Source organism: Homo sapiens, chromosome 7, assembly GCF_000001405.40.
Source record: "Homo sapiens chromosome 7, GRCh38.p14 Primary Assembly".
Lineage (NCBI taxonomy): Eukaryota > Metazoa > Chordata > Mammalia > Primates > Hominidae > Homo > Homo sapiens.
In genome coordinates this window covers 113,813,233-113,828,430 of record NC_000007.14, presented here as the reverse complement: position 1 = coordinate 113,828,430, position 15,198 = coordinate 113,813,233, and the positions used below count along the sequence as shown (strand labels likewise).

Here is a 15,198-nt window from a genome sequence, read left to right as displayed (position 1 = left end):
AATGAATGAATAATACCACAATAAACTACAGTCTATGCAGGTGTTACAATCAGGGAGATATGTGTTCCTCTGTGCCCTTTCGTGATGCATTAATGACAATGTCTATTTATTTGCCTTTACACTGTACTATCCCGTCAACTGCTAATAGATAGAAACTATGCCTTATTCATCTCAATATTAGGATGCAGTGGGACTAGAGTAGGCTCAATTAGTATTTTCCATAAGAAAATGCATTATATAGTATTTACTGTGCAAGGTACTGGGCTAAGTGTTCAGAATTTAAATCATTTATTAGTCTCAGAACTTTTCATGGGATCTGAGAAACATTTTGTAACATGAGAAACAGTTTGTAAACATTTTGTAGCTATTCCATAAACATTTTCTAGCTAATTATTTAAAACAAAGGGTTGCATTGTGTATCCATGGGTTATATTGATGGGGTTATATTGGTGAGAAAAATATATTTCCCAACTCAGTCATTATTCATACTTGAGACAATCTCAAAACAAAATTTACAGAAATTCAATGAACTAAAGAACTAAAGAGAATAACAAATATAATGCTAGGTATTTTAAAACATCTAAAACACAAATATTGTCTCATCTAACTCATAGTTCATTGAAAGGAAAGAGAAAGGCAAAGAACCATTCTGAATAAATCCTCATAAACAGTATCATCTGCTTCTAGGGAATCTTTAATTAATAAATTAATACATCCCTTCACTCATTCAAACATGCTTTTAAATGCCTTAGCAAAGATATATCAGGCCAAGGCCGGTGGCTCATGCCTGTAATCTCAGCACTTTGGGAGGCCAAGGCGAGTGGATCACGAGGTCAGGAGTTTGAGACCAGCCTGGCCAACATGGTGAAACCCTTTCTCTCCTAAAAATACAAAAATTAGCTGGGTGTTGTGGTGGGCGCCTGCAATCCCAGCTACTTGAGGGGCTGAGGCAGAAGAATCTCTTGAACCCAGGAGGCGGAGGTTGCAGTGAGCCAAGATTGTGCCCCTGCACTCCAGCCTGGGCAATAGAGCTAGACTCTCTTGGTATTTACCCTCTTTCATTAATTCATAGCTTGTTCTTTTCCCCTGAGATGTGGCCATTTTCTCTCTTCTACTCCTCTGCAAGTTGATGACCAAAACAACTTCTTCTCAGCATTAGTAAAATTTTAGATAGGATTTTTCCTCGCTATAAACCCATTGTCATCCCCACATGTGGAAGGAGGGACGTGTTGGGAGGTGATTGGATCTTGCGGGTAGTATCCCCCATGCTGTTCTTGTGATAATGAGTGAGTTCTCAGGACAGCTAATGGTTTAAATATGTGTGGCAGTTTCCCCATCTCTCTCTTTCTCCTGCCAGCAGGTAAGACATACCTTGCTTCCCCTCAGCCTTCCGCCATGATTGTAAGTTTTCTGAGGCCTCCTCAGCCATGTGGAACTGTGAGTCAATTAAACCTCTTTTCTTTATAAATTACCCGGTCTCAAGTAGTTCTTTACAGAAGGGTGAAAATGGACTAATACAGCCCCCGAGCTCCCTTTTCTTAGAGTGTTTACTTTTAAGACCTTGCAATTGTAAACACTTTCTCTGCGTCTTTGAGATGTAAGTCTCCCAGCTCTTGCCAGTTTTACAACCCAGGAATCTCTTTCTCAAGGACCTGGGAACCATCTCTTTGAAACATTAATTATCGAGAAAAATAGCACCCTTTTCTCCCAGTCTTTCTGGGAGGATAGGAGCCTAACTTAGACAATCGCCAATTAGCAAATAGGAATGGCCTGATTGCACTGAGCAGCCTCTTCTCTAATGTCCTCCAGTACTTTTTCACTAGCTCACTTCTTTGTTTCACCTGAAACAAAGGCTGGAGACTTTTTAAACACTGGGGTGAGCTAGTGAAAAAGTACTGGAGGACATTAGAGAAGTCTCCAGCCTTTGTTTCACCTTTGTATCTTTTCTTGCAGCTCTGACCTCTACTGCAGTATTTTTGCATACAGTCTTTCTTGCCCGTTTGACTGTATTTGGTGCAATTTTTCTTTGAGAGTTCCTACCATGTGTCTTTGTTCTGCTGCTCTGTGAGGTAGTAGGACCATTTTGTTTATTTCTTTGACTAAAGCATGTATCAAACTTGACTCATGTATATACCTCTTTTTTAAAGAGGAGGAGGGAATAAGCTTCTTACAGACCTCCTGTAATCTATGGAATACATTTTTATTTAAATTGTATACTGCAAAACAGAACTTTTAGAACTGGTAATATTTTTTAAAGATTATTATCAAAATAAAAAATACAAATTTAAAACACTATTGTGGACATTTTTACCCTGAAAATGTGTGCCCTGTGTCCTTCCAAATTATCCAGAGATCCTGCGAACCCAGTTTGAGGAACTCTACTGAAAAGCTTGACCAATTCTCTTCCTGGTGAGGTACTCATTATTATACAAAAATGTAGTAACAGCTCACCTTGAATTTTGTTTTGGTTTTCAATTTTAAAAGAACAGTGCTTCTAAGAGCCAAATAAATGGACAGAGAGAATCATGGATCCACAAGGAACCTTTCTAGTAAAGAACTGTGGCCTTTAATGTATAAAGCTATAATTTAGAATTTTCTTTATTTACTTTCTTTACTCCCTTGTGTTCATAATAAAAACCCTATGATTTTGCCTTCTAAGAGTGTGAACTTCACCACTGGTGCAAATGGCCAGTCAGCTTTTGCTCCCCTTTTTAGCCCTGCCATGGAAGAACTGGCAGATGACAATCTAGGATTACTGCATGCTGTTTAGACAAATTATTTGCCCATGTAACATTGGCTAAGGAACTCATGGTTTTAAAGTGGGAGCATTTACTGAAGTAACAGGGGAAAACAAAAACAAACAAAAAAAAAACATAATAAGAAGTTGATTTTGCTTATGGTAAGTGAAACAAACAAACAAACAAAAACCTGCTTTTTCAAATAAAAGTGCCATATTTGTCTTAGTAGTATCAACTTTAATCAATACTCAGCATTGCTTTTTGCTTATCTGTGTACAATATATGCATAATGTATTTGAAAGTTTACTAGGATAAACTGTATAACACGTCATAGGAATACTTAGAACAGACGAACAAGAGGAAATGTCTTACGGACCTTTACCTACTCGTACAGATGTCACTCCTTTACAAAATAAATTTTTCTGATAAGGTGCTGAATAAATTAATAAAGGTAGCCATTTAATATTTGTAAACTAATGCTTAATAATTTATAATTTTTAAAAACTCAAGTATAACCTATGCTATTTACAGAAATCTGGACATGTGAGAAAAAAAGAAAGAAAACTATGCAGAAGTGTATCCAGCACCTAGGACTTTTTGTCAAAGAAGACGTAGCAGCTGTGAGGGGGCTGCAGGTAGGGCAGGAGGAGAACCTGACTGCAGGGAAGTAAAAACAACTAAAATATATATTCTGTTCAGGATTGTAAATACCAAGAATGCACACCTGAAGGAATTCTTGAGATGTAAAAACTTGAAAGATTTGTGGGTTTTAGACTGTCGATATTAAAAACAAATATGATAGTATGAAATAGTTAGTGGATATTTCTCCCCCCGCACAAGCACTTTGGTCACACTTTCATGATCCACGTATATAGTATGTGATCCGTAATTCTAGATTAACTAAAATACAAGAAACTTCTGTCCTTAACTCCAATGGGAAGTACACGTGTAAGCTTTTCTCCTCTGAAGAGAAAGGTAAAATCAGTGTCCTTTAAGGCAGCAGTGGCTTTAATGAGGATGAGTCATATCACTTAGGGAGGCAAACCTATTTATTTTTATTACACAACACTTTTAACTGGGGCCATTTTAAAAAGGCCAAATGACAGGGCCAAGATTAGATGTGTCCTCAGTAGACAGCTGGCATGCTCCTGCCAGAATGAGGATTTAGAGGAGTGAGGCTGGTAAGAAATAGACAACAATTTGGGGAAGGGGAAAGTGGAGAAAAATTAACTCCCTGAAGAAAGTAACAAATAAAAATAAAAAATAAAAACAGGTCACAGTAATTTCCCTCAGGACTGAAACATGTGACATGAGCTTTTGCATTAAGTTAGAAATTTCAGAGTAAGAGGCACTAGAAAAGAATGCAAAACCATGGGAAACAATGTTCCTATTGTATTTGGGAAGGCTCAAATAAATAGTTCCTGTGTCTTTTTCCAAACCAACCAGCTAAATGATGTGCTATTTATTTAAAAGAACTTGCTTCTAGGAAAAAGGGATTAGGCATATTTTCCCATTTAACAATCAATTACAGTAGAGAATTTAAAAACTAATCAACTAAGGTGCATACGGTACAAAGAAACTTCCTTACACTGCAGCAAAAAAGTGTTCCAAGACTCACCAAGTGACAGTATTTATTGGACACATGACATCACTTAGGCAAATTCATTGTTGACCCTTTCCAAAAGTTATGATGCTGTTTGTAGCTTCTAAAACTGACAGTCCTGTCTACATTTAGCCTTTTCAAGGATGTCACGCTCCTGCATTTAAACCAAGCAATAATTTATTGCATAAGTATGCATTTGGGTTTAGGGATCTTTTAATGAACACATTTTGCTCTTTTATTAGAAGCAGTATAAAACTCTTGTCCAAGACTAAAATAAGTAAATAGCTCTCCAGAAGTAAATGGTGTACTTCTCTGAGATATGCGGATTCAAAAAAAGTCAAAGGTTTTATGCACCAAGTAATTATGGAAGGAATCAACTGCATCTTCTTGATCTCATCTATAGAAGCTGCAGGGAAGCTGAAGTTGTATTTTATAGCCATGCACCTTTAGAAAGAGATGGGGCTCTGCCAGGGGATCCTTAGGGATACAGAGGAAAGAAATGATACATCAGTATTGTCAACAAGTTTTATATATATATATATATATATATATATATATATATATATATATAAGTTATGTTATATATATATATCAGTTATGTTATATATATATCATATATATGATATGTATATCAGTATGTTATTTTTTATATATATAGAAGAACTCAACAATTGTTTGTTGAATTGATAAGAAATGACTTTTAATATGGCAGCTATGAAAATTTCTGCACAGCACAAAACATTGCCACAGAGAGTAAAAGTTAACTACAAAAAGAAAAAAAGAAAGTTTTCTAGTAGATTGAAACTTGTGTAGTTGTGAGATCTCAAGGATTTGGAGGCAGATTGGGGGAATAAAACGGCAAAAAAACAACTTAATGTAATTTTTTTCTGATTTAAACATTAAGAGATGAGGACTTTATAATATATTATCTTGCTATGTGATTATTCCTCAATTCAGGAATAATTAAAAACAGTAGTTTCTTTGATGATATATACCTTGTATATTCTTTTATATATTTAAATGTGCATCTTTTTATATACTTTTTTTAGCGAATGAAATGATTCTATACATTTAAAAAATTAAATAAAAACAATACTATTCATTCCTTACAGATTGATTCTCTGCTATATGAATAGTATAAATTGAGGAATATATGAAAAGACTAAGATGTTTGCGAATATACAACTATTTAATAAATAAAGCAAAGAGCATATAGCACAGTAAGGGTTGATTTACATTTGAGGAGAAATTTCCTAAAAATGAACTCCTTAAAAGGAATTTCAAGGTTACTTTGTGTGGGGAAAGATGGTTCTCAGGCTGTCTCTCAATTAGCAAGAGAGAAAATGAAATGAAGTTTAATTATTGTATGTTAAAAATAGTTTTGTAGGTTGGCTGCTGAGAGAGGAGTTGGTAGAACCCAGAGAAAACACAGAGTAAGGAAGAATAAGTGAAGAGTGTAAGTGAATAGAAGGACAAGAAGAGAGGCTTAGGGAGAATTTCTGTGAGGGAGAAGGGTAGGGGACATGGAGGAACAAGGTAGCTCATCTTCAGCTAGATATCATTTATTATGTAGTCACAAAAAAAATAAACCTGGTCTTTGTTGTCAGACTTTCAGAGTTTGGTACAGACATCACCTTTTTTTAATTGCAATTTAAAAATATTTTGATGTACACTATACAGTCAGGAAACTATATTTCTAACATATATTGTTTCGACACTCAAAAACATTCTATCCTGGAATTTTCAATAATATACAAATGTGAGATTCATATAATTAAGTTAGCATCAGACTTAAACAATTAACCCATAGTCATTTTTATTTTATAAGCGACGCCTCATCTCCTGCTGCCTGTCTGCTTTCTACTATTTTGAAGTGAACGCCAACATCATACCATTTTATCCATAGATATTTGTATCTCTCCTTAAAATACAAGGACTTAAGGACAAACTAAAACCACAATACCATTGTCATATGTAAATTATACATAAGTTTTACCACCTTTTTCTGGCAGAATTTTATTAAGTAAGAGATTTCACTGATGGAATAATAAAATATAAAATAGGAATGGCATGGATATATATATTTCATATAATATAATATAATATAATATAATATAATATAATATAATATAATATAGGAATGGCAAGAAGTGAGACATGGAGCAGAAATGGACAACTCAGGAAAGCTGAAATTTAAGGTGAAACATTTAAGCTCAGAGAGAATTCCCATATTTATAGGAACACCAAAGTTTCCTCTCTGGTAAGCTGACTAAAACCACTTTTATTTGAGGATCTCAGCAAAAGAGTATTTCAGAGTGCTGGAGGCCTGAGACTTGGGTACACCCAAGCAGTCAACCACTGGGTTACATATGATTGTGAGCAATGTAGATGTTCACAGCACTTCTCCATGGACTAATCTTATCAATTCAGAGGTGCATTTTGTTAGACCATACATTTAAATTGTACCTAAATGTCAATGTTTTAAAAAAGGAAGAGGCATTTGGTAACATAAAACACCTTTTAAAAAATATAATTAAAACACTCAGTTACTTGATATGTAAGTTAGACTATTCTTTGATCAGGATTGAGCAAGTTAACTCTGTGGTGTTAATTCTATGACTGCTGATTCGGCTTTCTGTTGGATCCAAGCTAATTAAGTGGTAGATCTGCAGTTACGAAACTCTTCTGCCTAACTGGTCTTAAGTGTGTTTATTAATTATATAGACACAATTTTTTTTAGAGTTTTCCCTAGACTGATGCACGCACAGGCACACACCCACACTATATATAGCATAGGCACACCTATAACCATACTGTTCATGATGAAGATAATACAAAAGAACCTGAGCTTCAAATTTTTATTTAAATAGTATAATTTTTCCTTGATGCCCATGATAATCATACATCAAATGACGGTAATTCAAAACAGAACCTACTAGAACTTACCTTGAAGGATACATGAAGGGTCAGTTATCATCTCAACACATCCTGTATAACAATCTTTCTCCCTCTTTGGTCCATTAACCAAAGGGCACGTTAACTCCTAAAAACAGATTTTGAAGAATTCCAACCATGAATGGTTAATGCCCATTAAGTTGGAGGCTGCACCGTGTAAAGAGCGTGGCTTCAAAATCTCTTCTCACTAGAGTCAAGTAGATTTCTCTTTCTCTGAGTTTTGGTGCCTTTGTTGAATGAAGTTGGTAAGTTGACACTACTATCTTGAAGGATCTTTGTGAGTACAAAATAAGACTACCAGAGTAAAGTTCCTATCAGTTGCTGGCTACATAATAGTTGTTCAATAAACACTATTTCTGTCTACCCTCCAAGCTTGTTTTGTGCCATAGATTCACAGGCTAATGATGCAGAATGAATCATGTACTTGTCTTAAGATTCTAGGGAAGAAAAGCTTTTCCTTGGGTAAGGTTAGTGCCTGTCAATTATTGTCCCAATAACCTGAACTGCATCTCTTAACCTTTTCCAGTTTATTAAAAAACCTCCTTAGATTGCCAAAACGAACTGAGATATTTACTGACTCTTCTAAAGCATGAGTTATCAAGTTAATTTACGAGCTCAAGTGTTTCAGAGTACATTTGCCAGTGAGATTAGAAACATCTCCACTAACCATCAGAACTTCTTATATTGTTACCTGGCTGAATACTTAGACACTGCTAGGAAAACTAGGGGAAATTAATGAGGTAACAATAAAAATATCAGTGAAGATTTCTCTTCTGAAGAATGCATAAATTGATGTTCCTTTCAAGCCTTCAGGAAGCTCTGGTTGATTCTGCATTATGATGTCTGCTTATGAGATACAATAAAATGCCTGTCATCCACTGTGTACTACAAAGCCATTTGTGAGTTATGAGTGATGAACATTGGATCTGAGTTGATCTGGAGATTGCCTGGACAATATATATAAAGAAAAAACAAAATTTTGATGAAATAAATTGAGAAGTGAGCAAGTATATTTAACTTTGGGTAATGTTTGTTTAGCAATAGTTATCAGCACATATTTTTAAATGATGGAGCTAATTACAAATGAATCCCTTCTCATTAAATTAGGTTTTGAAGGACCTTTACTTAAAATCCTCTTGTTAGTAGTTAAACAGTGGTCTTCATTTTATCCATTTCATTGATCACCATGGAATTAACCCCTCAAATTAGTCTGGATCAGTGTGGATTTACATTATAAACTACAAAAGTTTGTCCACAGGGATGGCAGACATGGCAAAAGAAATTAACACTTCAAAACACTACCAATTTAGTGACCTACTTTTAGGGAAGATTAACCTATAGCGAGGATGTGAAACTAAATTAAATTCCAGTTAAATACAAATATTTTTCTTCACATACTGAGTCATCTGCTTCAGACCCCACAGGGTGCAGTGTTACCTTGCTTGGTGAACTGCATAATTATTTATAGATTTTTCTCAACACTAAGCTTACCCCTTATCTAACTTTACACAGGCAGTCTAGTTAGTGACTCTTACAGAGATACCTTGCTGCATAATATGGTCCCACATGGTAGGTCAGGGCCCAGCTGCCCCTGCCCCTTTTTCCATTCTTTGTTGTTGGTTTGAAAATATCAGGACAATGACTGCATGCCACATTGGTTTTATAATTTCTAATCTAATGTCTCTACAGGGGACTCTAATTCCATATAATGTGTATAAAACAAAGAGATAAATGTTACTTATTATTGAGAATGGAGGTTCAAGGACCTATTGTGAAGCTTTCTACTTATTGATGGAATTCTAAAACTAGGTTATAAAAAAAGTCCTTTCTTGATGAAGCATTAGTGATAAATAGCAAGCCTTCAGGAAGCTAAACTACTTAACACTTAAAGACACTTTCATTTGAAGCATTTTAATAATACAAACTAATAATGGAATGCAAATTGTATTTCTTAGAGGGTATAATATTCATTCTACAATGAAACTGAATCAGTGCTAATTGGATGAAATCTTTAAGTTTGTAAAAGTAACAACGTGTGCGTGTGTGTGTGTGTGTGTGTGTTTTAAAGAGAATAATTTTTGACTTGTATGATGCATATGGTTGACTTAAGGCCAACTAGATATGTTTCTCTTGCTTAGGAATAGAGGAAAAGGCTGGGTGCAGTGGCTCACACCTGTAATCCCAGCACTTTGGGAGGCCAAGGTGGGCGGATCACGAGTCAAGAGATCGAGACCATCCTGGTCAACATGGTGAAACCCCATCTCTACTAAAAATACAAAAATTAGCTGGGCATGGTGGTGCGCACCTGTAGTCCCAGCTACTCAGGAGGCTGAGGTGGGAAGATAGCTTGAGCCCAGGAGTTCAATACTAGCCTAGGCAAAAAAGGGAGATTCCATCTCGATAAATAATTTTAAAAAAATCAGCCAGGCATGGTGGCATGTGCCTGCAGTCCAAGATATTTGAGAGGTTGAGGCAGAAGGATCATTTGAGGTTAGGAAGTCAAGGTTGTAGTGAGCCATGATCACACCACTGCACTCCAGCCTGGGTGACAGAGCAAGGCCCCATCCAAATAAAAAGAAAAGGAAAAGAAAAACTTCACAGAAATATACTGGTGGTAAGAGGATTTTCTTACTATTCAATGTAGAAATAAGTGGAAAAAGAAAGAGTTGATCATGGTGTCACGTAAGGTAAGGCCTTCCGGCACTGGACAGAATGAGATAAAGTCCAGATTCAGTTGCCAATTGCCTTTGTTACCCTTAAAATAGCCTTAAGAAAATTCCTTATACGTAACTGCTATGTATAAAGTTTGAGGGACAGATACCAAAATGTCAGTGTATTAATTTGCAATTAGAACTGGGGCAATCATATGGACTTGAATAGTTTATTTTCTTGATTAGCATATTCTCTCTCCATTATCAAGCTACTTGGGAAACTAAATCACAATCAGGAAAATGCTATTTGAGAACAGAAAGAGTTAAATAAATTAAATATGCAATGGCCTCATTCAAAGGTGGCGTCACACACCCTTCTCACGAAGAGGCTTGCCAGTGGGAGTGGAAATTAGTAAAGTCCATCAGCTATCATCATCTCCATCCACCTCCATTGAAGGGATAGCCTTGCTGTATGGATTAGAAACAGCTGACAGCTGAAGGCTGCATCTTCATCCACACTAAGAAGTGTTTGAATGGGCTGCTAATAGGCACCTCTATGACTCTCTTTTTATGTCCATGCTGACCAGTTGCCTTCCTGACGGCCACAGTCCTTTTGAAGGGATGTGTGTGCATGCATGTGTGTAAGCATGTGTGTGTATAATTGGATTAGAGTTAAACCCAAATGTATGGTCTATGAACTGCCCTGTCTCTTTCCATTAACTGAACATCTCTTCTCTGATCCATTACTTTTTGCTTTTACAATTTACTTCTCTGTCACAAACTCATTTACGTCCAAGTTCTCTGAGGAACATTTCCGTGTAGCTAGCTTCATACTTATTAAGAAATGTTATTATACACTTTATTTCACTAAAAAAAATAAGTGGCCTTGCCTTGACATAACAATTCTGACAAACTAGTAAAACTGTTCTACCTCTTCAAGTCGTGAAGTCTTTATGGTAGAGCTAAATAAATTTCCATAGGATAATGCAATGATTTAATATAATAAATATTTGAGGTTTTTGTGATTGTATCTATCTACTTAATGGTATATAGCATCTGATCACCCCCCATGTAAATCCTATGTTAAGTATCATGTGAGCTGACATGACATGAGGCAAAGTAAATTTGAGATATATTCCTAAGTTTAGGCTCTGTATTATCTCCACTTAGTCCATGTCTTGGTTTGTTTTGGATACTATGTTATTGGTATTACAGCATTATTATGAAAGCAGAGAGATATGTGCCTCTTGTCTTACTTCACATGAGAAAATGATGTTTTAAGCAGTAGAAATAAACTGTCCTATCTAATCTTTTTTTTTTATAAACTATGCTCCTTGGTTTTGCTTGAAAGTATCCCCTGGATAATACAGAGTAATGCTGTGTGAGTGAGGGCTTGGGCATAGTACTCTGAATTACCTTATGATGTTTGCTCTTAGAGGAATAGCTCTGCTTTCTAATTTCTATCAAAAATCAATTTAGTTTCTCAAAAAGGTACTCTAATTTAAAAATTTCTCAAGACATTAGCCAACCCCTTTGCTAATAAATGATTCCTATGGGCAGTAGCAGCACTTTAGAAGCTACCTTTTTAAAGCCACAATGCTGGATGGCAATAGAGTGCTTTCTGGCATCCCCTCTAGTAGAGTAGACATATTCCTGGAGTGTGAGTCAACAGACCTAGGTTATAATCCAGATAACTGTGTTTCAAACAAGTTATTTAATCCTTAGCTATTGGCCACTCTTCTGGGTGGAATTGTGCCCTCTCTGCTAAATTCATATGTTGAACTCTTAAGCCCCAGTACCTCAAAATATTATCTTATTTAGATATAGGGTCTTTTTTTTTTCACTTTTTTGAGACAAGGTCTCACACTGTCACCCAGGCTGGAATGCAGTGGGGCAATCTCAGCTCACTGCAACCTACACTTCCCAGGCTCAAGCAGTCCTTCTACCTCAGCCTTCTGAATAGCTGGGATTATGGGCACACACCACCACACTCAGCAAATTTTTGTATTTTTTTGTACAGACAGGGTTTTGCCATGTTGTCCAGGCTGGTCTTGAACTCAGGTGATCCTCCCAACTTGGCCTCCCAAAGTGCTGGGATTACAGGTGTGAGCCACCGTGCCAGGCTGACGTAGAGTTTTTACAGAGATAAGTTAAAATGAGGTCAGTAGATTGGGCCCTTATCCAAAAAGACTTGTACCTTTAAAAATGGGAAATTTTGAGACAGACACACATACAGGGAAAATATGATGTAAACATAAACCTGGTGAACTACAAGTCAAGGAGAGAGGCCTGGATCACATCTTTCCCTGACAGCCCTCAGTAGAAACCAACCTTACCAACACCTTGATTTAGGATCTCTAGTTTCCAGGATTCTGAAACAATAAGTTTCTATTGTTGAAGTCACTCTGTGGTATTTGTTATTGCCACCCTAGCAAACTAATACAGCCTCTTATGCCAAAAAGTGATAATGAGATCTTTATGTTACAGCCCTTTCAGATGATCATTACTTCTCTTCTGGATTATTTAAATTATTCTTTAGTTCATCTCTATGCTGTTGTAATCATATTTCAGAAATACAGATCTGATCTTGTCAATGTCCTGCTTATAGTCCTTCAATAAAACACCTACAGAATAAGTTCATACTCCCCAAGGCACCAAGGGCTTTTCATGCTCTATTCTAAATCTACCTATTCAGGTAGCCTCTCTACTCCCAAATGCCATGGTCGCCCATACTCCCATTTCCTCCCTAGATAGTCCTGCTTTTTCCTTTAGTTTGGGAGGTCAAGACCAAGGGCAAGGGAAATGAGGGAAAAGAATTCTGGACAATGCTGGAGAAGATTGAAAGGGAGAGGGGATGAGAAATGGGAAGAAGAAAGACAAGATGGTAAATATTTGTTAATTCACATAGTTTCTATGTGAATTAAGAATGTAAATATTTGTTGATTAAGGTTTTAGTCCAAACAAATTAGAAGGTTTATATAGTCAAAGTTTTTATTTTGTTTAGTCTTGCCAAAATTTTCCCAAACCTCTAGTGGCATAAATGATTGCTCTGCAAAACATCTTTAAAGTTAAAATTGTAGGGTTTTATATATGGAGGCAGATACCTTAGTGAAGCTTTTCTGTATAACCAGGAAAGACAAGTCAGCTTTGCTCAGTGTCGGCATAGTGCACTATCACTATACACTATTGATATAGTTTGGATATTTGTCTCTATCCAAATCTCATACTGAAATGTCATCCCCAGTGTTGGAGATGGGGCCTGATAAGAAGTGTTCGAGTCATGGGAGCAGATCCCTCACGGCTTGGTTCTGTCCTCATGATACTAGTGAGTTCTCATGAGATCTGATTGTTTAAGGGACATGTGATGTCCCTACTCCCACTTCACCTTCCATCATAAGTAAAAGCTCCCTGAGGCCTCCCCATAAGCTGAGCAGATACTGGCACCAGACTTCCTTTACAGCCTCTAGAACTGTGAGCCAGTTTAACCTCTTTTCTTTATAGATTACCCAGTCTCAGGTATTTTTTTATAGCAATGCAGAAACAATATAACACAACAGTATAGTACTTGACACTTGATAGATAACAAAAGAAGACAAAACAAAAAGCAGTATGTTGAATCCCCTTGAGCTCTTTACAACTTGGTTTCTTCTCCTGAAATTTGTCTTTGTTCTTCTCCAGAGGTATTTTGGTCAAAATATAAATAATATAAAACTATCGATTTATACCATTTTGGAAATATATATATATATATATACTATTTTTTAAATAATACAGCATTGTTCTGTACAAGCTAGACATTCCAGAACTGCTTAGAAGAATAAAAAACTATCATTAAACAGAAGTCCTTGCTACTGCTCACCTATGGGAATGTCTACAAGTGAAGCTGCCTAATTGCAAATGAACCCCTGCCCTTTGGGGCTCATATTTGAAAACACTATTGTTTTCCCTTTCTATAGCAGCCTCAAATCTGGCACTTGTGGATGACTGCCTACCTTTCTAGATAACCTTTATCACCACCATCAGTCAGGGTACACCAAAACAAATTTTGTATGTCACGTCCCAAACACACCTTCCAAATGAATCTAGCCATTCTCCTGTGATCCAATAACCAACATTGACAGAAACTGGATTTTAATACATGAATATAATAACCAAAGTTTACTTAGGAGGAGAAATAGCTTGTTTTCACAGCCTCTCAGGTCCTTTATTAGTAGTATTTTTGTGACAATGCATATGGGCTTTTAGGAGCTCCAATTAATATGTAATTATATTAAATTGAAAAGATAATCAGCAACAAAGAAGGACTTAGGGAATAGGCCAAAGTGTGGACTGGAGAAGATAAAAAGGGTGGAGGCTGTAAATGAAGAAAGGAAAAACAAAAATGGCGAGGCTCATAATTCACACAGGTGCTATGTGTATTATTCTTAACTGCTCAAATGAAAATGGAATCAGGGGGAGGAATTGTTATATTGAAGCAAAAACCTTCCAAACTGTAGCAGCTTAATTGGTGGCGTTATGAACATTCTAAAATGTTTTAACATTACTGTTCCAAATTCTGTGAAATAGAGCCATTTTAGTGCTTCTAGACCCTATTATTTTAAGTTTTAACATTTTTTCCTGAACTAAGTGAGGAAGATTAAGGTAAGGCAATTTGGCTCCTGGGTCAGCCTTGGCATTCTTCATCCTGCCCAGATGTATATGATTACATTTTCTATTATGCGAGCCATGGGGACATATGGAATTTTCATCAAAAAGTGATGAAAGAAAACATCTTTAGGAAAGCTAAAATATTGCCTAACTTAGGAAACAACCTTCTTAGACTGGAAATATTTTTTCTGCTTGGCTATCCAGCAGTCTAAGTGTAGTATGTGTGTGAAGAGTGTTGAGGGATTAAGTACATTTGGAGAACAGGCACACAAACAAATAAACCAGAACTATGTAACTTACAAAATTGGGTCAAATACTAGATTATTTATGGTTTATACAAAAAAAAAAGAAAAATAAAGAAACAAATGATAGATGTGGAAATGGGTAATTTTACTTGTGTAAAACTTTGGCAATTGATAAAGATACAGCCAAAAAGTAGAACTACTCACTCATTCTCCAGTATTCCTGAATTTAACCCTTGATTAATTGGAAAACAGGCTGAAGCCTGTGCAGCTGTTCTCCCATCTGCACTTTAATTAAAGAAAAGTTAGGCATAAATTCCCTCCTCTACTAATGATTTAGGAATATAAAATGATAGCAACTA

General features: G+C 36.2%; 1 annotated feature.

Moving 5' to 3' along the window:
- Positions 2,090 to 2,726: an enhancer, noted in NCBI's record as "OCT4-NANOG hESC enhancer chr7:113465760-113466396 (GRCh37/hg19 assembly coordinates)". NCBI's record gives its function as "activates a minimal SCP1, AML or CMV promoter by ChIP-STARR-seq in naive H9 embryonic stem cells {active_cell/tissue: H9 hESC(naive)}" and the evidence as "EXISTENCE:reporter gene assay evidence [ECO:0000049][PMID:30033119]".